General features: G+C 41.7%; 2 protein-coding genes across 3 annotated transcripts in view; one reads left to right on the forward strand and one right to left on the reverse strand.

The window, feature by feature from the left end:
- Positions 1-20,202, forward strand: part of TICRR (TOPBP1 interacting checkpoint and replication regulator) — a 52,555-nt gene that overhangs the window by 30,185 nt on the left and 2,168 nt on the right. For both annotated transcript variants that reach the window (NM_152259.4, NM_001308025.1), the window contains exons 14-20: positions 1,115-1,172; positions 3,150-3,296; positions 10,752-10,842; positions 12,499-12,557; positions 14,055-14,189; positions 15,740-15,897; positions 17,970-20,133. In NM_152259.4, the coding sequence (NP_689472.3) occupies positions 1,115-1,172; positions 3,150-3,296; positions 10,752-10,842; positions 12,499-12,557; positions 14,055-14,189; positions 15,740-15,897; positions 17,970-20,133 (2,812 nt within the window). The remainder of the gene's footprint in view (positions 1-1,114; positions 1,173-3,149; positions 3,297-10,751; positions 10,843-12,498; positions 12,558-14,054; positions 14,190-15,739; positions 15,898-17,969; positions 20,134-20,202) is intronic.
- Positions 11,656-20,202, reverse strand: part of KIF7 (kinesin family member 7) — a 45,741-nt gene continuing 37,194 nt past the window's right edge. Inside the window, exon 20 of the mRNA XM_047432481.1 lies at positions 11,656-12,542. Coding sequence (XP_047288437.1) covers positions 12,451-12,542 — 92 coding nt within the window. The 3' untranslated portion in view covers positions 11,656-12,450. The remainder of the gene's footprint in view (positions 12,543-20,202) is intronic.

A 20,202-nucleotide genomic window follows, 5' to 3' on the forward strand; every position in this document is an offset into this window, starting at 1 on the left:
AGCCGGATGTGTGACATATTTTTACAATTATAGTTTATCTCTTTATAAGAGTTATTAATCAATATAAGTAAGAATGATCACATCTCATGTCTTATCAGCAAGACCTTGGTTATATCACTGAGACCATTTGTTAAGTTTCTGCCCATATGTGGTGGCTTCTTCAATTATTATGATGAATTGAAAAAACAAAAAATCTTTAAAAAAACAGTTTCCTTGTTTTGATGCATCTGGGGTTTAGACTCTTGAATCTTCTATTGTAATAGCAAGTACATAGCAGTCTGATAAAGAAATGTTTCTGAGAGTATAGCCTCCCTCTAATTAATGTATATGGCTTTTCCCTTATTAGGTATAAAAGGTATGCATGATTATCGTTAAAAAGTTAAAACATATAAAGTTAAAAGTTAGGGTGTTCCTTCTCCATCCATTCATCAGAAGTAATCACTGATGATAGTTTGTTGTGTATATTTCCAGGCCCTTTTCTATATGCACCAATAACACCAAAGATTTATGCAGATCCGTTATATACATATATATAAATGATATAACTTAGAATACTTAATATTTTCCTTTTTCCTCCCTATCACAGATCTCTATGTTAGTACAAGTTGAGTATCTCTTACCCAAAATGCTTAGGAGCAGAAGTGTTTCCATTCTTAGATGTTTTTGGATTTTGGAACATTTGCATTACATGTACTTACTGGTTAGCACCCCACATCCAGAAGTCCAAAATGCTCCACTGAGTGTTTCCTTTGAGTGTTGTGTTGGCACTCATGAAGTTTTGGATTTTGGAGCATATTGGATTTTCAGATTAGGGATGCTCAACCATATATAGAGAGGTCTTCCTTCCTTACTCTTGTAATGTCTGCATTGGATGGGTATGTAATTTATTTAACTGTTTCACTCTTTATGGGCATTTATAGTGTTTTTTATTTTGTGTTATTACTATAGTGCAGCATTGAGTGTTTTTGGAACATTTCTGTTGTACATTTTATTATTTCTATTATGGATCCCTATAAATGAATTACAAGAGTCAAAGAGTTCATGTGAAATCTTTATTCTTTTATTTCAATGAATGCCTATTTAAATTTTCTTTCTGGATTTTCTCATGTTTCAGGAGAACTCTCACCCTGCTCCTCAGCAGCCTTCCCAGCCAGTGAAAGATACAGTGCAAGGTATACTGTTTTCTCAGTGTATGTATTTATTCACTAGCATGACAACTTTATTTTTATTGTATGTATTTAAGCAGCTGCTTACAGGTGTAAATTAAGGCTTTGTATGATTGTTGGCTAATAAAATATGTCCAAATACCATGGACATAGTCCCCTAGGAATAGTCTCAAAATATTGTATTTTACAAAATAACTGGTCTGAAATCTTTAAAAACAAAAACAAAATTAAAAAAAACATCATGAAAGCTGGAAGAAAGGAAAAAGAAAAGAGGCAGTGGGACTGTTTCAGATGAATGGAGTTTAAGCATGATAGCTAAATGCATTCCATGATCCCTGCTTGGATCTTAAATTTAGGGAAAAAAATACTAGAAAGGATATTACTGAGACAACTAGAGAAATTTGAAGAAGCGGTGTATGCTAGATAATATTGTATCAATGCTAAAGATATTTTGAGTGTAATAATGGCGTTGGGGTTATGGAGGAGAATGTCCTTGTTTTTAGGAGATACATGCTGACCTTTAGGAAGTGAACAGTTGTTTGCAATTTACTCTCCAGTGTTTAGGGGAATAACGTACATACAGAGAGAAGGAAGGAGAAAACAAATATTGTCAGTTGGTGAACTTTAGTGATGGGCGTATGTTTAATTTTATTATTATTTGAAACTTGCTATAGAAATTAAGCTTTTCAAAACATTGGGAAAATAGAGAATAACAAACCAAATTTGGCTTTCAGGTCATAAATCAATTTCACCAACAGCCTAAGTTAGGTAACAGGAACTCTTATAATGGAGATAAGGAAACAATTTTTAAAACTTTGGTGTGTGTTATTGATGTCCTTAATAACCTTAATGTGAACCTTTATGTCATTGATGGGTAAACACAAGGGTTGCTCCCAGTTTGTGGATCCTAGATTATTTGGTTTGGGTTTAAATGATTAATCTTTGAAGAATTCACCCTTGGTGAATTTTTGGATCACTTCCACCAGACTATCTTAAGATTAAGGTATTGTCTTGCTGGCTTTGCCACGTACTTCTTGACTTTTCAGCTATTTTTTTCTAACTTTGAGTCTAGATGATGAGAACTTTCATGCTTTGGAGTCAAGAATAAAATTTAAAATGTCCCAGCAGCTTAGTAAAGTAGTCAGAAGAAGAAGAAAGAAATTATAGAATTGAACAATTCTTTGCTCAATGCTGAGCTGAATACACAGCAGCAAAAATGTCCAAAGTGAGAAAAATAATCATAACATGGGATATATTAAAAGGACGATGACCTATGTTAGCCATCCTCTTACTTAAGAATTATGTCCATCTTACATTGAGTAGCTTCTAACTCAATAAGTGGTGGGGGCCTTCCTTGTGTTCCTGAAAAGTTAGATTTAAATTGAATTCGTAATGGAATACTACAAACCACTGTATACCAACAAATTGTATAACCTAGATGAAATGGACAGACTCCTAGAAAGATACAAACTACTAAAAACAGACTCAAGAAGAAATAGAAAATCAGAATAGATCTATAACAAGTAAAAAGTTTGAATTAGTTATCAAAAAACTACTCACAAAGAAATGCCCAGGACTAGAAGTTTTCACTGCTGAATTCTATCTAGCCTTTAAAAAAGAAATTAGCACTAGCATTTATTATGGTCAACTGATATTCAGGGTACCAAGACAATTTGATGGAGAATGAATAGTCTTTTGCACAAATGATGCTGAGACAACTGGATATCCACATGCAAAAGAATGACATTGGACCCCTACCTCATGCAAAATAACATATAAAATTTTTTTTAATTTGCAAAAGTAAATATTTTTAATGCATTATGGGAATATGCTATTTAAGGAAACCTTATTAGCATATGTGACAATAGCAATCTGTAGTTTCCTCAAGGAGCTTCTCTGTTTTGGTTATCTTTTCTCAGATACGGCATTTATTGATGATAATCTTTGGGTTTTTCTTTTTCTTTTAATTTTTGATGCTTTCAGAAGTGACCAAAGTTCGAAGAAATCTTTTCAACCAGGAATTGCTTTCCCCTTCAAAGAGATCACTAAAGCGGGGGTTGCCTAGAAGCCATTCTGTGTCAGCTGTGGATGGTCTAGAGGATAAACTTGACAACTTCAAGAAGAACAAAGGTACCACATTTCAGAATAGCTAGGAAAAAGGAAAGGGAGATTCTGTAAGATTAGTAGTAATGTACCGTCTTTCTTTCCTGATTTAGTAATTTGAGTCTTCTTCCCTCTTTTTTCCTTCAGTCTAGCTAAAGGTTTGTCAATTTTGTTAATCTTTTTTTTTTTTTTTTTTTTTTTTTTTTGAGACAGGTTCTTGCTCTATCACCCAGGTTGGAGTGCAGTGGCGCAATCTCAGCTCACTGCAGCCTCCACCTCCCAGGCTCAAGTGATTCTCCCACCTCAGCCTCCTGAGTAGCTGGGACTACAGATGTACACTACCACACCCAGCTAATTTTTAAAATTTTTTTGTGGAGACATGGTCTTATCATGCTGCCCAGGCTAGTCTCAAACTCCTGAGCTCAAGCGATCTGCCCTCCTCGGCCTCCCACAGTTGCTGGGATTATAGGCATGAGCCACCACACCCAGTCAATTTTGTTAATCTTTTCAAAGAATTTACTTTGGTTTATTGTTTTTTCTCTATTGGTTTTCTTTGTCTTTTTTTTGAGTCAGAGTCTCACTCACTCTGTCTCCTGGGCTGGAGTGCAGTGCCGTGATCTTGGCTCACTGCAACCTCTGCCTCCCAGGTTCAAGCGCTTCTCCTACCTCAGCCTCCCCAGTAGCTGGGATTATAGGTGTGCACCACCACACCCGGCTAATTTTTGTATTTTTAGTAGAGACGGGGTTTCACCATGTTGGCCAGGCTGCTTTCCAACTCCTGACCTCAAGTGATCTGCCCGCCTCAGCCTCCCAAAGTGCTGAGATAGGTGTGAGCTACCGCGTCTGGCCTCTATTGGTTTTCTAATCTCAGTTTCATTTTTTTTTTTTCCCTCTATTGGCTTTGGTTTTTGTTTGCTCTTTTTCTACTTTTTTAAGGTGAAGTTTAAGCTATTGATTTGAGATCTTTTTTAATAAAGCACTGCTTTAGGCATATCCTATAAATTTTGATATGATTTGTTTTTGTTTTCATCATCTCAAAATATTTTCTAATTTCCCTTGTGATTTCTTCTTTGATCCATTGGTTATTTCGGAGCGCATTAATTTCCACATATATGTATTTCCTAAATTCTCTTCTCTGCTTATTCTAGTTTCATTCTATTGTTGTAAAACATACATTGTATGATTTCAGTCTTTTGAAACTTGAGACTTATTTTGTGGCTTAACATTTGGTCTATCCTGGAGAATGTTTAATGTGTGCTTGAGAAGAATGTGAAGCATTCTATAGATGTGTGTTGGGTCTAGTGGATTTATGGTATTATTCAAGTCTTCTGTTTCCTTGTTGAGCTTCTGTTTTATTGTTTATTTATTATTCAAAGTGGCATATTAAAGTCTCCAGCTATTATTGTTGAATTATTTATTTCTCCCTTCAGTTCTGTCAATTTCTGCTTCATGTATTTTGAGACTCTGTACTTAAGTATATATGTCAATAATTATTATGTCTTCTTGATCAATTAAACTTCTTACCAATAGGTAATGTACTTTGTGTTTTGTAATCTTTCTTGGCTTACAGTCTGTTTTGTCTGACAATAATACAGCTCCCCACCCACCAGCTCTTTTGCATAGGATATCTTTCATTGTCCTTTTACTTTCAACCTTAGTGTCTTTGTATCTAAATTAAATATCTTATAGACCTCATAGAGTTGGATCATGTTTTTTTAATCCATTCTTCTTATCTCTGCTTTTCAATTGCAGTGCTTAATCCACTTCTATGAATGTAATTACTAATAAGGAACAACTGTCATTTTCTATGTTTTATGCTTTTTTGTTTCTCAATTCCTGTTTTTTTGTATTTAGCTGATTTTTTGTAGTATACTAGTTTAATTCCATTCTTTCTTTTTCTGTGTATTTTTAAGTTGTTTTCTCAGTGGTTACCTTGGTTAACCCAGCTACTGGTTACCTCAGTTAGCATCTTAAGCTTAAAAGAACCTGGCTTTATGAATAAAGCCAACCTCTTTTCAATAATATACACTCTGCTACTATGTATTTCTGTCTCTTCTTCTTTATATTGTTGTAGACTGCATCTTTATACATTGTGTACCTGTTAATACAGACTTAAATTATATAGGGTTTAAAAAAAAAACAAAATTACCATAATGCTGGCTTTTATATTTATCTGTCTAGTTACCTTTACCGTTGTTTTTTATTTCTTCTCATGGCTTTGAGTTATTGTCTACTACCTTTCATTTTAGCTTTTCTTACAGGGTAAGTCTACTGATTATGAACTCCCTCAGCTTTTATCTATTTGGAAATGTCTTACTTTCTACTTTATTTGTGAAGGACATAGAATTTTTGGTTGACAATTTTTTTTTCCCCCTTCAGGACTTCAAATGTGACATCCACTGCCTTCTGGTCTCCCAAATTTCTGATGAGAAATCAACTATTAATCTTATTAAGCTGCTTCTCTATTGCTGCTTTCCAGATTCTCTCTTTGTCCTTGGGTTTCAACACTTTGACTACAACGTGTCTCAGTGTGAATCTCTTAGAGTTTATTCAGCTTGGAGTTCGTGGAACTTCTTGGATGTATATGTTCATGTCTTTCATCAGATTTTTGGAAGGTTTTAACCATTATTTCTTCAAAAAATTTTCTGCCACTTTTGGTCTCATTTCCTCCTTAGACTCCCATGATATATGTGTTGGTACACTTGATGGTGTCCTACAGGTCCCTCAGACTTTGTTCATTTTTTTTTTAATTATTTTTTCTTTCTGCTCAGGCTGGATAATTTCAATTACCTTATCTTCACGTTCACTGATTCTTCTGCCAGCTCAAATCTGTGGTTGACCCTTCTAGTTAGTTTTTTCATTTCAGCTCCAGAATTTCTACTGGATTCTTTTTTATCATTTCTATTGCTTTATTGATATTCTCATTTTGTTCATATATTATTTTCCTGATTTCCATTAGTTTCTTATATATGGTTTAAGTGAGCTCATTGTGCATATTTAGAGAAGTTGATTTAACATCTTTGACTAGTAATTCCAATGTCTTGGCTTCCTTAGTGACGGTTTTTGCCAAATTTCTCTTTTCTGGTAAATAGGCCATACTTTCTTGTTTCTTTGTATACTTCGTAGTTTTTTGTTGAGGACTAGTTATTAGGGATATTATAATGTGGTAACTGCATGGAGGTCAGATCCTGTCACCCCTCAGGGATTCCTGTTCTTTGCTTATTAAGGATCTCAGCTATTCATTTGTGCCTTTTCTGAACTATTTGTGTAAAGTATGTATACCTTGTTGTGTGTGGTCACTGAAGTTTCTGTCTATTATCTCTGTGGTCAGCCAATGACCTAAGAAGGATTTCCTTAAATGTCTGATTCAAGAAACGAGGAGGGGGAAGGTGTGTCTGTCCCTTAAACTTCTGATAATTGGGAGAAACCCACTGTAGCCTAAGAGAGCTGAAACCAAGGCAGTGTCTGCACTGCTCCTACAGGAATCTGCCTGGTTGACCAAAGCATGCAACCCCCAATTTTTGGAGGACGAGGTCTTCACTGTCTGCCCTAGCACCAGCCAGCTGCTCCTGGAATGTGGGCTGCTATCCCAATAGCTACAGCAGGGATGAGAAAAGGGAAATGGTAGCCAGTTCATGCACATCATTCCCTTCCTAAAGATCATCAGTCTCTCCCATCATCAAGCACTTCCTAGGTTATTACAGGTGTTCAATCAAGTTGCCAGGTTCCAAAATAGTGAATTCTGATCTTTTTTTCTAGTTTACTAGTTATTTGGGTTGAGGGACTGACCCCTAGAGCTTTCTTCTCCATCATGTTGCATAACCTCACTCCCCTTGGAGATTACAATTAAGATATTAACTTATAACAGCCTAGTTCTCATTGATACCAATTTAACTTTGACAGTTTATAAAAACTTTGCTATTGTATAGTTCTACTGACTATCCCTTCTTAGTTCTATATTGTCATGCAAATTACATCTATACATTGTATGCCCATCAACACTGATTTATAATCATTACTTTGTATTTTAAATAACAGGGGGGAACAGTTACAAATAAAAAACACTTTTATAATGTTTTTCTTATATAGTTACCTTTACCAATGCTGTTTAACTCTTTATGTGGACTTGAGTTACCCTAGTGCCCTTTCCTTTCAGCCCACAGGACTCCTTTTAGTATTATTTATAGTGTAGGTCTGCTAATGACAAATTCTGTTTTATTTTGTTTCATTCTGAGAATGTGATGATTTCTCCTCATTTTTGAAGAATACTTTCATTGGGTATAGAATTCCTGGTTGGCAGTCTTTTTTCTCTCAGCACTTTGAATATGTCATCACACTGCCTTTTGTCTTTTGTTTCTGACGAGAAAGCAGCTGCTAATCTCATCAAGGATCTGTACACGATGAATAGCTCTCTGGCTTCTTTCAAGATCTTCTTTTTTTCACTTTTGATAGTTTGATTATGATTTGTCTGGTTTTGGATCTCTTTCACTTTATTCTACTTGTATTGAGTTTCTTAGATGTGTAGTGTCTTTCATCAAATATGGGTCATTTTTAGCCAATATTTATTCAAATGTTCTTTCTGCCTCTTCCTTTCTGTCCTTTCCTTCTGGACTTCCGGTATGTGTGTGTTGTGCTTGATGGTGTCACAAGTATCTGAAGCTCTGTTCATTTTTCTTCATTCTTTTGTCTTTATCTTCCTTAGACTGGATCATCTCAATTAACCTTGTCTTCAAATTTGTTGACTCTTTCTTTGCCACCTCAAATTTACTTTTCATTTTTGTTATACTTTTTAACTCTAGAATTTCTATTCGCTTTTTTTTTTTTTTTTTTTTTTCCGTCTGTTGATATTCTCTGTTTGGCAAGTCATTGGACTCATATTTTAGATCTTTAGGTATGATTTTCTTTAGTTCTTTGAACATATTTAAAACAGCTGATTTAAAGTCTTGTTCTAGCCGGGCGCGGTGGCTCACGCCTGTAATCCCAGCACTTTGGGAGGCCAAGGCGGGTGGATCACGAGGTCAGGAGATCCAGACCATCCTGGCTAACACAGTGAAACCCCGTCTGTACTAAAAATACAAAAAATTAGCCGGGCGTGGTGGCGGGCGCCTGTAGTCCTGGTTACTCCGGAGGCTGAGGCAGGAGAATGGCGTGAACCCAGGAGGCAGAGGTTGCAGTGAGCCGAGATCACGCCACTGCACTCCAGCCTGGGCAACAGAGCGAGACTCTGTCTCAAAAATAAATAAATAAATAAATAAATAAAGTCTTGTTCTAGTAAGTCCAATGTCTGGACTTTCTCAGGGACAGATTCTGTTGGCTGATTTTTTTTCCCCTGTGTATGGGCCATACTTTTTTGTTTTGTTTCTTTGCATGACTCATAATTTTGTTGACAACTGGATTTTTTTTTTTTTTTGAGATGGAGTCTTGCTCTGTCACTCAGGCTGGAGTGCAGTGGTATGATCTTGGCTCACTGTAGCCTCAAACTCCCTGACTTCCTGGCTTAAGCAATCCTCCCACCCACCTCAGCCTCCCAAGTAGCTAGCTGGACTAAAGGCATGCACCACCACTCCTGGCTAATTTTTGTATTTTTTTGTAAAGATGTGGTTTCACCACGTTGGCCAGGCTTGTCTTGAACTTCTGGACTCAAGCAGTCCGCCTGCCTCAGCCTCCCAAAGTGCTGGGATTACAAGCATGAGCCACTGCACCCAGCATGGATATTTTAAACAATATAATGAGGCAGCTGTAACAATCAGATCCACCCCAACCCTGCCAGGATTTGTTATTGTTTTTGTTTAGTCACTTTTCTAAACTATTTGTTTAAATTTTGTATTCTTTATCATGTGTGGCCACTAAAGCCTCTGCTCAGTGGTCTTAGTGGTCAACTAATGATTGGACAGAGATTTCCTTAAATGCCTGGAACCCATAAGTTTCACAGCCCCTACTGAGGGGCTCTGTGTGTTGGGTCATGCCTTCAACACTCAGCCAGGCAGTTTAGAATTCCACTTCACTTTCTGTTTTGCCAGAGCCTCAAGGTTAGCCATAGGTGGCAGCTTACAGGCTTCTCAAGTCTATCCTCGGCACATGCACAGTGCTACACGTGTGTGGACTTTTGGATGCCTAAGAATGTCATCAGAGATTTGCAAAGTCCCCTGTGATGTCTCATTCCCCAATTTTCCCAATTAAACTTTTGGCCAGCTTGTTATTGCACCAAATGTTACCACCACCTCAGGCAGCTGTAACATTTAACAATTGCTGCTGATTGTTTTCAGTAAATGCTGTCAGGGAAAAAGGTGGTTTACACTGTATGAGTTCTGAGTCAGGTCAAAGCAAGACAAGCCTTGATTTGAGTAGGATTCTCCAGGGAACTGCCAGACAGGTTAATGGATGACAGTTATCTGAGAATGGAGTTTTGGAGGAGCTCCAACCCCATTCTGCCCTGTCCAGAGGCTGCTGGGCTGTTGGTTTTCACTGTGATTGTGGGAAATTGATTTTTAAAGCTACCGTAGGGCTAGGGGGAAGGGGCAGGGACTAAGGCAAGTTAAAGCTTCCTGAGATTCAACCATTTTTCTTGAACAAATACTCCCTAGATTGTTGCAAACCTTTAATTAATGTTCAGAGTTCTGGAAAAGATTTTTGACCATTTTTCCCAGTGATCTCTGTTCCTTTATGGAGGAGAGTGTTCAGAGGTCCTTACCTCACCATTCTTACTGGCATCACTCCTCTTTACTAATCATTTTAAGCTCACTTTAAATCAGTCCTCTCATAAGTAGCTTGGCTGCCTACTCTACTAAGAAATTTTATGCCACCTACGTTTATCTTAATAATTAACATTTATGTGGCATATCGGCATTTTCACATATTTCATTTAATCATAAATACTAGAACCACCAACTAGGTGTTAGTCTTAACAAGTGAGCAATTTTCATTTTTTCAGGATTGCTTATTAGATAAAATTTTATATTTATATTGTCTTTTTTTTTTTTGAGATGGAGTCTCCCTCTGTTGCCCAGGCTGGAGTGCAGCGGCATGATTTTGGCACACTGCAACCTCTGCCTCCTGGGTTCAAGTGATTCTCCTGCCTCCGCCTCCCAAGTAGCTGGGCTTACAGGCACGCACCACCTCGCCCAGTTAATTTTTGTATGTTTAGTAGAGATAGGCTTTCACCGTGTTGGCCAGGCTGGTCTTGAACTCCTGACCTCAAGTGATCCGCCCTCATTAGCCTCCCAAAGTTCTGGGATTACAGGCATGAGCCATTGTGCCCAGCCTATATTTACATTGTCTTATGTCATTTTTTAATCTCTAATAGTGCTGACAAACTTCTATCATGTTGAGTCCTGTAACCATAGAACTTAGCCCAAAGACCATTAAGATCCTCTCCAGCTAGGTAATAAGCCATACAGAAGTTCAAACTGCTCCCTTGGCCTTACTGCTGCTTCTTGATGAGGTTAAATGAAATTTATGATTTAAGCTGTGTTTACATTTTAGGTTATCACAAACTGCTGACTAAGAGTGTGGCCGAGACTCCAGTGCATAAGCAGATCTCCAAAAGGCTGCTGCACAGACAAATCAAGGGCAGGTGAGTGACATCCCCATCCGGGCTTCTTCATACACCCACACCACCTCAAAGCGGCCTTGTGGGCCACTACTTCGCTTCTCTTGACCTTCATGACTTAAATCTTAACTATGTTGCTTAAAACCAAAGAGCATTCTATAAGCTCTCCATGGGAGCAGGAGAACCATATAAAATATACACTTGTCTGGCCTCAATTATTTTGAGATTCATCCATGTTGTTGCATGCAATAGTTCATCCTGTTTTATTGCTGAGAAGTATTCCATGGAATAGATACTCCACGGTTTTTAAATCCATTCATCTGTGAACATAGAGAAGGTGGAAGTCTGGGATCCCAACTCAGCCTTTGCTGACAGAGGTGTGGGTGGGGCTGCAGTTTTTTCTGCAGCGATTGGTTGGAGTAGGGCTGTTATTGTCTGAAAGTTTTCTGTCTTGCTTGGCTGACCCTTTCCTAGTTCTTTGGCTTGAGAGCTCTCCTTCCTTGGGGCATCTGTAGTTTGCTCCTGGTATACCTGGGTTGTCAGCTTTTCTGGCACCCAGTCTAGGGGTGTAGGCAGCAAACAGAAAACCCAGGGAGCTAGCTCACTGCCCTCCTCAGGTCCCAAAGTCCCCAGCCAGGCTGCCTTCTTCTCTCTGCCTTTCAGAATTGTCTCCTGCTCATTGTATAGATAATGTCATGGGTTTTTAGCTTGATTTCAAGGGTAATAGAAGCACACCTCCTTCTATTTTGTCAGAAACCCATCTCGACATTATTCGTATATGGATTTTACACACTTGTGAAGTTTATAGGTTAAATTGCGAAAAGTGAAATTGGTGGGTCAGAGGCATATATATTTTTAATTAAATTTTTTATAACATCCTTGACACATTGGCAGAAATTAAGGCTCTTAAACAGAAACTTGAATGTTGCTGCTCATTACTGTGATAGTCTGATAGTTTGGTATAATTTTTTAATATATTAATGGGGTTTATAATTCTGATGTTGTAAAATTGCTTTCCAAAAAATAAAAGCAAAACAAAACCACATTCTAACCATCTCACTCTTTTTCTGAGTAGGAATCTCACTCTGTCACTCAGGCTGGAGTGCAGTGGCACAATCCCAGCTCACTGCAACCTCTGCCTCCCAGGTTCAAGTGATTCTCCTACCTCAGCCTCCAGAGTAGCTGAACTACAGGTGTGTGCCACTGCACCCAGCTATCTTTTTTTTTTTTTTTTTTTTTGAGACAGAGTCTAGCTCTGTCGCCAGGCTGGAGTGCAGTGGCGCGATCCTGGCTCACTGCAACGTCTGCCTCCCGGGTTCAAGCGATTCTCTTGCCTCAGCCTCCCAAGTAGCTGGGACTACAGGCGCATGCCACCACGCCCAGCTAATTTTTGTATTTTTAATAGAGTCGGGGTTTCACCATATTGGCCAGACTGGTCTCGAACTCCTGACCTCAAGTGATCCGCCCGCCTTAGCCTCCTAAGGTGCTGGGATTACAGGCGTGAGACACTGTGGCCAGCCTCCCTCTTGACAATAATCACGTATGAGAGCCCTTTACCAGCACTGGTGTTATCAGACCCTGTGATCTTTGTGATCTTGTTAAGTGAGAAGCTGCCTGTCTCCTTAATAAGTGTTAATTACAAGTGGTATGGAGTAATCCTTGTGCATGTGGTTCCTCGAGGTCCTCTGATCCTGGTCCTGATATTGGTGTTGTTGAAGAGTCCCCTGAAAAAGGAGATGGTGAGTGTTATCTCTTTTTGTTTTTAATGCAATCTACCCAGCTTCTATGAAAACCTTTCTGTATGTATTGTTACTTGGCATATCCTAAGATATTTTACAGAAATTGTGATGGCTCTGAGTCCACAATGCAGCTCAGTAAATATTTATAAGTGAATGTTCTTCTGCATAGAAGGTACTGAGAGAATTCTGGAAAAGAAATATTTTTGCACAACAGATATGAAATTCAGGATGAGGGCTAAACTGTGTTATACAAAGTGCTATGACTTATTTTAAAAGTATATATAACTTTGTTGGAGCTTTTCACTACATATTTTTTCAAGAAGGCAGGGAAATTTTTTATTGGGGAGTGTCTTTTCTGAGACATTATCTTTGCTGCTGCCCCTTATGTATCTGTGTATTCCGTGCCCCCAACACACAGTGCCTGGCACATAGCAGGTGATCAGTAAGCACATGTTGAATGAGGGTGAGCAGCAGGTGTGGTGGTTCACGCCTGTAATCCCAGCACTTTGGGAAGCCAAGTGGGGAGGATCACTGGCCAGGAGTTTGACACCATCTTAGGCAACACAGTGAGGTGCTGTGTCTATAAAAAATTTAAAAAATCAGCTGGTCATGTTGGCATACTCCTATGGTCCCAGCTACTCGGGAGGCTGAGGTGAGAGGATCTCTTGAGCTCTGGAGTTCAAGGCTGCAGTGAGCTATGATCGTGCCTCTGCACTCCAGCCTAGCGACAGAGCAAGACCATGTCTCTAAAAAATAAAATAATAAAAGTATACATGATGAAGGAGGGGTTTTAAAAAACTAACTTCTAAGTTGCTCAAGTAATTCACATTTATTGTGGAAAAAACAGGAAACATGAAGCCAAAAATTTTAAAGCACTTGGTAATTCCACAACTCAGAAATACTCTAACATTTTAGCATATACTCTTACTGCTATTATTTCTATATAAATGCATGTAACATATACATACGAAACCTAACATAAATACTTGTTTTCGCCCTACACCATTCTTCTTTTTTTTTTTTTTTTTTTGGTGAGACAGACTCTTGCTCTGTCGCCCAGGCTGGAGTGCACTGGCATGCTCTCCGCTCACTGCAACCTCCACCTCCCAGGTTCAAGCGATTCTCCTGCCACAGCCTCCCAAGTAGCTGGGGTTATAGGCACCCACCACCATACCTGGCTAATTTTTGTATTTTTAGTAGAGACAGGGTTTCACCTTGTTGGTCAGGCTGGCTACACCATTCTTAAGGTGGCAGTAAATAAGACTTCTGAAGGTAATAGTCTAGTGGGTCAGTGTTTTTTTAATACCTTGTTGGGACCATGTATCAAACCCCTCTTAGTTTGTTAAGAGACACTTCAGAAGTCTCTTAAAGCTAATAGCTTGCTGAATTTCCATCTTATATGTGGTACTATGTAAATTTTGCCCGGTTTTGGACAACATGAGAAAATGTCAAGCTTGTAGTTGTCTTTGGTTACTTACTGTGGTTCTGATTTTACAGAAATAAGTCTGAGACGAAGTCCTCGAATCAAGCAGTTGTCATTTAGCAGGACACATTCTGCCTCCTTCTATTCTGTGTCTCAGCCGAAGTCTCGAAGTGTGCAAAGAGTCCACTCTTTCCAGCAAGATAAGTCAGGTAACATACGGGCCCCTCTGCCTTCACAAGTCCGTGCTGACTTGGTGAGAAGTGTTTTTGGGAAAAGAAGCAAGAAATTTGACATTTTCTTTCTTGACATTGGAGAAGTAGAATAGGTATGTCTAGTTGAGGTTCAGGGTGATGGCTAGATGGACAGTCCATGACTTTGTAATCAGTCATCCCTAGGACTCCTACAACTGGTCATCCATGCTATCATTATAGGTAGCTCATTCATTCAAGAGGAAGCTACCCATAATTTCCCATAAGGACAGAACCTACACATCATTATCTTAGGTGGAAGGTGATATCTGTGTTTACGTTCTTCATTCTTCTATCCATGGTTAGCTTGCTAATAGATTTGTGTTTCTTATTTTATCTTTTTTTGAGACAAGGTCTCACTCTGTCACCCAGGCTGGAGTGCAGTGGCACGAACACAGCTCACTGTAGCCTCAACCTCCCAGGCTCAGGTGATCCTCCCACCTTAGCCTCCCAGGGAGGTGGGACTACAGGCATGCACCACCACGCCCAGCTGATTTTTTGTTTTTAGTAAAGACTGGGTTTCACCATGTTGCCCAGGCTGGTCTTGAACTGCTGGGCTCAAGTGATCCATCTGCCTCGGCCTCCCAAAGTGCTGGGATTACAAGTGTGAGCCACCACACCCAGCCAGATATGTGTTTTTATATTTACAAATTAAAGTAGTTCAGTTGTCTACATTTTCTAACATAGGAGCTGGGGTTAATATGCCGTCTTACTAAAATTAAAAAAGGCAGCAGTTGTTGTAGTTGCTGACATAAATAGGTGGGATTTTCCCGAGTTGCTCTCAAAAATTGTTGCCTTCTTTCTTTTATGAACTGGCTGGGTTTTTCTTATGTTTTGTTTGTTTGTTTGTTTGTTTTTTGAGATGGAGTCTCACTCTGTTGCCCAGGCTGGAGTGCAGTGGCGCAATCTTGGCTCACTGCAAGCTCTGCCTCCCGGGTTCATGCCATTCTCCTGCCTCAGCCTCCTGAGTAGCTGGGACTACAGGCGCCCGCCACCACGCCCAGCTAAATTTTTTGTATTTTTAGTAGAGACAGGTTTCACTGTGTTAGCCAGGATAGTCTCGATCTCCGACTTAGTGATCTGCCCGCCTCAGCCTCCCAAAGTGCTGGGATTACAGGCGTGAGCCACTGCGCCCGGCCTTGTTTGTTTGTTTTTGAGATGGAGTTGTGCTCTTGTTGCCCAGGCTGGAGTGCAATGGTGCAATGTCGTCTCACTGCAACCTCCACCTCCTGGGTTCAAGCAATTCTTCTGCCTCAGCCTCCTGAGTAGCTGGGATTACAGGCCCCTGCCACCACGCCCAGCTAATTTTTTGTATTTTCAGTAGAGATGGTGTTTCGCTATGTTGGCCAGGCTGGTCTCGAACTCCTGACCTCAGACCATCCACCTGTCTCGGCCTCCCAAAGTGCTGGGATTACAGGCGTGAGCCACCATGCGTGGCTGGCTGTTTTAATAGTATTGGAAGAACAGGAATTGAGAAAGAATTAAATATTGTTGCTGTTTTTGACTTGCAGACCAAAGAGAAAATTCTCCAGTCCAAAGTATTCGGTCTCCCAAGAGTCTTCTTTTTGGGGCAATGTCTGAGATGATCAGCCCCTCAGAAAAGGGTTCAGCTCGAATGAAAAAGCGTTCAAGAAACACTTTGGATTCGGAGGTACCTGCAGCTTACCAGGTATAATGTTTCTGTAATGTTTGAAATAATATAATCTCCTGGAACACAGAGACATGGCCAAGGAACTCAGAGTCCATTAGGGAAGAGAAAGCAGGTGACCTCTAGATAATACTAGAGATTGGAGGTGACTGGGTGGAGCCACATGAATGATTATTAGACACGTGGGAACTTCAAGCAGCAGGTTTGACTGAAGCCACGGTGGGGGCGGTGGAGGAGGAGATAGAGAGGATCTCATCTGTTCTCTTGGCTTTGTCTACTGTTTATATTATATACTGCACAGATACCTTTCTGGAGTGTGTGACACTCATCTTTTCCGTTTGATTGCCCACTCCATCCAGTCACCAACATTAGAAACCTGGGAGTCATCCTTTTCCCTCTCCCCAGGCATAGCCAATCAGTCGAGTCCTGCCCATTTTATTTACAAACTGACTCTTTTTTTTTTTTTTTTTTTTTGGAGACAGAGTCTTACTATTTTGCACAGGCTGGAGTGCAGTGGCACGATCTCAGCTCACTGCAACCTCTGCCTCCCAGTTCAAGCGATTCTCCTGCCTCAGCCTCCTAAGTAGCTAGGATTACAGGCACCCACCACAACGCCCAACTAATTTTTGTGCTTTTAGTAGAGATGGGGTTTCACCATGTTGGCCAGGCTGGTCTCGAACTCCTGACCTCAAGTGATCCACCTGCCTCAGCCTTCCAAAGTGCTGGGATTACAGGCATGAGCCACTGCGCCCGGCCTACAAACTGACTCTTGTACCCACCCCCTCTTCTCCCCTACTGCAATTCCTACCCTAGTTCAGGTCTACCTGGAACACTTCAACAGGCTTTTCCCTCTCAAAGGGAAATCCTCCACCCAGAGGTCAGAGTGATCTTTCTGAAACATTCCTCTCAGTTTGCTTAAAATGTTCACTTTGCTTAAAGCTCTATAGACTCCCCGTCCGCTAAAGCAAGGCTTTAAGTTTTCCTAAGTGGAACTCTTGGGTTCAAAAATAATCACCTTTGTTTGGAAACTCAGTAAATTGCTTGGAGGTTGGGAAAGACATAGAGCTCTGGAGAAGGGTCTGAAAACCATAGATCTACACAACCAAGATCAGTCTCCTCCCCCAGGCAGGCAGGGTCTTCCGTGGTCTGTTCCCTCTGGCCTCACCCCTCCCCGCTCCACCTCCCCAGCAACATCAGGCTGGGTGCCATCCTGCACAGCCACTGCTTTTCACTTCCAGGCCTTTGCTAGTATTGTTTTCTATGCCTACAGGCCGCCACCACCCCACCCACTTTTCCTGTGTTTGCCTTCCCCTGCCGACACCCAAGCTTGAAGACCTGATCCAGGCTGGGTTAGGCAGCCCTTCTTTGTGTTCTGTGATGCCCCTCGCATGTCCCTGTCACTGCACCAATCACATTGTATTTTCACCTGCGTATGCCCCACTGAACAGGAAATGCCAGCTAGACTGAGAGTCCCCTGACGGGATGAAGGAAGGCTGTAGGAAAGATAAGCATTGATTTCCTTACCTGTTGGAGCTTTTCACTACGTATTTTTGCAAGAAGGCAGGGAAATTTTTTATTGGGGAGTGTCTTTTCTGAGACATTATCTTTGCTGCTGCACCTTATATATCTGTGTATTCCATGCCCCCAACACACAGTGCCTGGCACATAGCAGGTGATCAGTAAGCACATGTTGAATGAGGGTGAGCAGCAGATGAGGTGGCTCCTGGAGGCTGCTTTAGGCAAAGATCAGAAATAGCTGCCTTATCTGAAAAGAAGGAAGAGCTAGAGAGTAGCTGCAGTGGTAGAATGATTCCATTAGAGGCAAAAAGCATGGTTTAGCAATATGTAGATTATTAAAATTATTTGTTCTAGGACAAACTAAACTTGGATAGTGTTTGGTCCTAGAAAAAGTAGACAAGTAAAATCTGAGTCATGTTTTGGAGAGGGAAACGGGTCACTATTTGAGATTTCCATCTTTAGATCATTCCTTTGGCTGACTATAAATCTCCCATTTGGTCTTAGAGATTACTAAAACACTTCAGAGATCATGAGTTATAATATTCAAGGACTGAAATAAGCATTTCTCTTTTCAGACTCCCAAGAAGAGTCACCAGAAATCTCTGAGCTTTTCTAAAACTACACCAAGAAGGATCTCTCATACACCACAAACTCCGTTGTATACTCCAGAAAGGCTGCAGAAGTCCCCTGCAAAAATGACCCCTACAAAGCAGGCAGCTTTTAAGGAGTCCTTAAAAGACTCCTCCTCACCCGGCCATGACTCACCATTGGATTCAAAAATCACTCCTCAAAAACGACATACCCAGGCAGGAGAAGGTACCTCTCTTGAAACGAAGACACCAAGAACTCCTAAGAGGCAAGGTACTCAGCCGCCTGGGTTTTTGCCAAACTGTACTTGGCCACATTCAGTGAATTCCAGTCCAGAAAGCCCCTCCTGTCCAGCCCCTCCAACTTCATCGACTGCCCAGCCCAGGAGAGAGTGTCTCACTCCCATCAGAGACCCTCTCAGAACACCTCCGAGAGCAGCAGCCTTCATGGGCACGCCTCAGAATCAAACACACCAACAGCCCCATGTCCTCAGAGCTGCTCGGGCAGAGGAACCAGCCCAGAAACTAAAGGATAAAGCTATCAAAACTCCAAAAAGACCAGGGAATTCAACTGTGACTTCTTCCCCACCTGTTACGCCAAAGAAACTGTTTACCTCTCCTTTATGTGATGTCTCCAAGAAGAGTCCATTTAGGAAATCTAAAATAGAGTGTCCTTCCCCAGGAGAACTGGATCAGAAAGAGCCCCAGATGTCACCCAGCGTAGCTGCATCTCTCTCCTGCCCTGTTCCCTCAACTCCCCCTGAACTCTCACAGAGAGCTACATTGGACACCGTCCCTCCTCCACCCCCTTCTAAAGTTGGGAAACGGTGTAGAAAGACCTCTGATCCCAGAAGGAGCATCGTGGAGTGTCAGCCTGATGCCTCCGCTACTCCTGGGGTTGGCACAGCTGACAGCCCAGCTGCCCCCACAGACTCTAGAGATGACCAGAAGGGACTGAGCCTCTCTCCTCAGTCTCCTCCTGAAAGACGGGGCTACCCAGGCCCTGGTCTCAGGAGTGATTGGCATGCATCCTCTCCTCTGCTCATTACAAGTGACACAGAGCATGTCACTCTCCTCAGTGAAGCCGAACACCATGGCATTGGTGACTTGAAAAGTAACGTCTTATCAGTGGAAGAGGGTGAGGGGCTAAGGACAGCAGATGCTGAGAAGTCTTCTCTGTCTCACCCTGGGATTCCCCCATCTCCTCCTTCCTGTGGGCCTGGCTCTCCTCTGATGCCTTCCCGTGACGTGCACTGTACCACAGATGGGAGACAGTGCCAGGCTTCGGCACAACTAGACAACCTGCCAGCATCAGCTTGGCATTCCACAGACTCTGCCAGCCCACAGACCTATGAGGTTGAGCTGGAGATGCAAGCTTCTGGCCTTCCCAAACTTCGAATTAAGAAGATAGACCCCAGCTCTTCATTAGAGGCTGAGCCCCTCAGCAAGGAGGAGAGCTCTCTGGGAGAAGAGAGCTTCCTCCCTGCTCTCAGCATGCCCAGGGCCAGCAGGTCCTTAAGCAAACCTGAACCCACCTATGTGTCACCCCCCTGCCCCCGCCTCTCCCACAGCACACCTGGCAAGAGCAGGGGGCAAACCTACATCTGCCAGGCCTGTACCCCCACCCACGGCCCTTCTAGTACCCCCTCTCCATTTCAAACAGATGGGGTTCCTTGGACACCATCCCCCAAGCACAGTGGGAAGACAACTCCAGACATAATTAAAGACTGGCCCAGGAGGAAGAGGGCGGTGGGCTGTGGCGCCGGCTCCTCTTCCGGGAGGGGCGAGGTCGGTGCAGACCTTCCTGGGAGCCTGTCACTGCTTGAGTCAGAGGGCAAGGACCACGGCCTTGAACTCAGCATCCACAGGACGCCCATCTTGGAGGATTTTGAGCTCGAGGGAGTGTGCCAGCTCCCAGACCAGTCGCCTCCCAGGAACAGCATGCCTAAGGCCGAGGAAGCCTCTTCCTGGGGACAGTTTGGGTTGAGTTCCAGGAAGAGAGTCCTGTTGGCCAAGGAAGAAGCTGACCGTGGAGCCAAAAGGATCTGTGACCTGAGAGAAGATTCAGAAGTTAGTAAGAGTAAAGAGGGGTCTCCAAGTTGGAGTGCATGGCAGCTACCCTCCACGGGAGACGAAGAGGTGTTTGTTTCCGGTGAGTTCGTTTTTGAAACCCAGTTTCCTCATGGTTTCTTTTGGTCAGAGTGCTTGACAAGGAGGCACT

Source organism: Homo sapiens, chromosome 15, assembly GCF_000001405.40.
Source record: "Homo sapiens chromosome 15, GRCh38.p14 Primary Assembly".
Classification (NCBI taxonomy): Eukaryota; Metazoa; Chordata; class Mammalia; order Primates; family Hominidae; genus Homo; species Homo sapiens.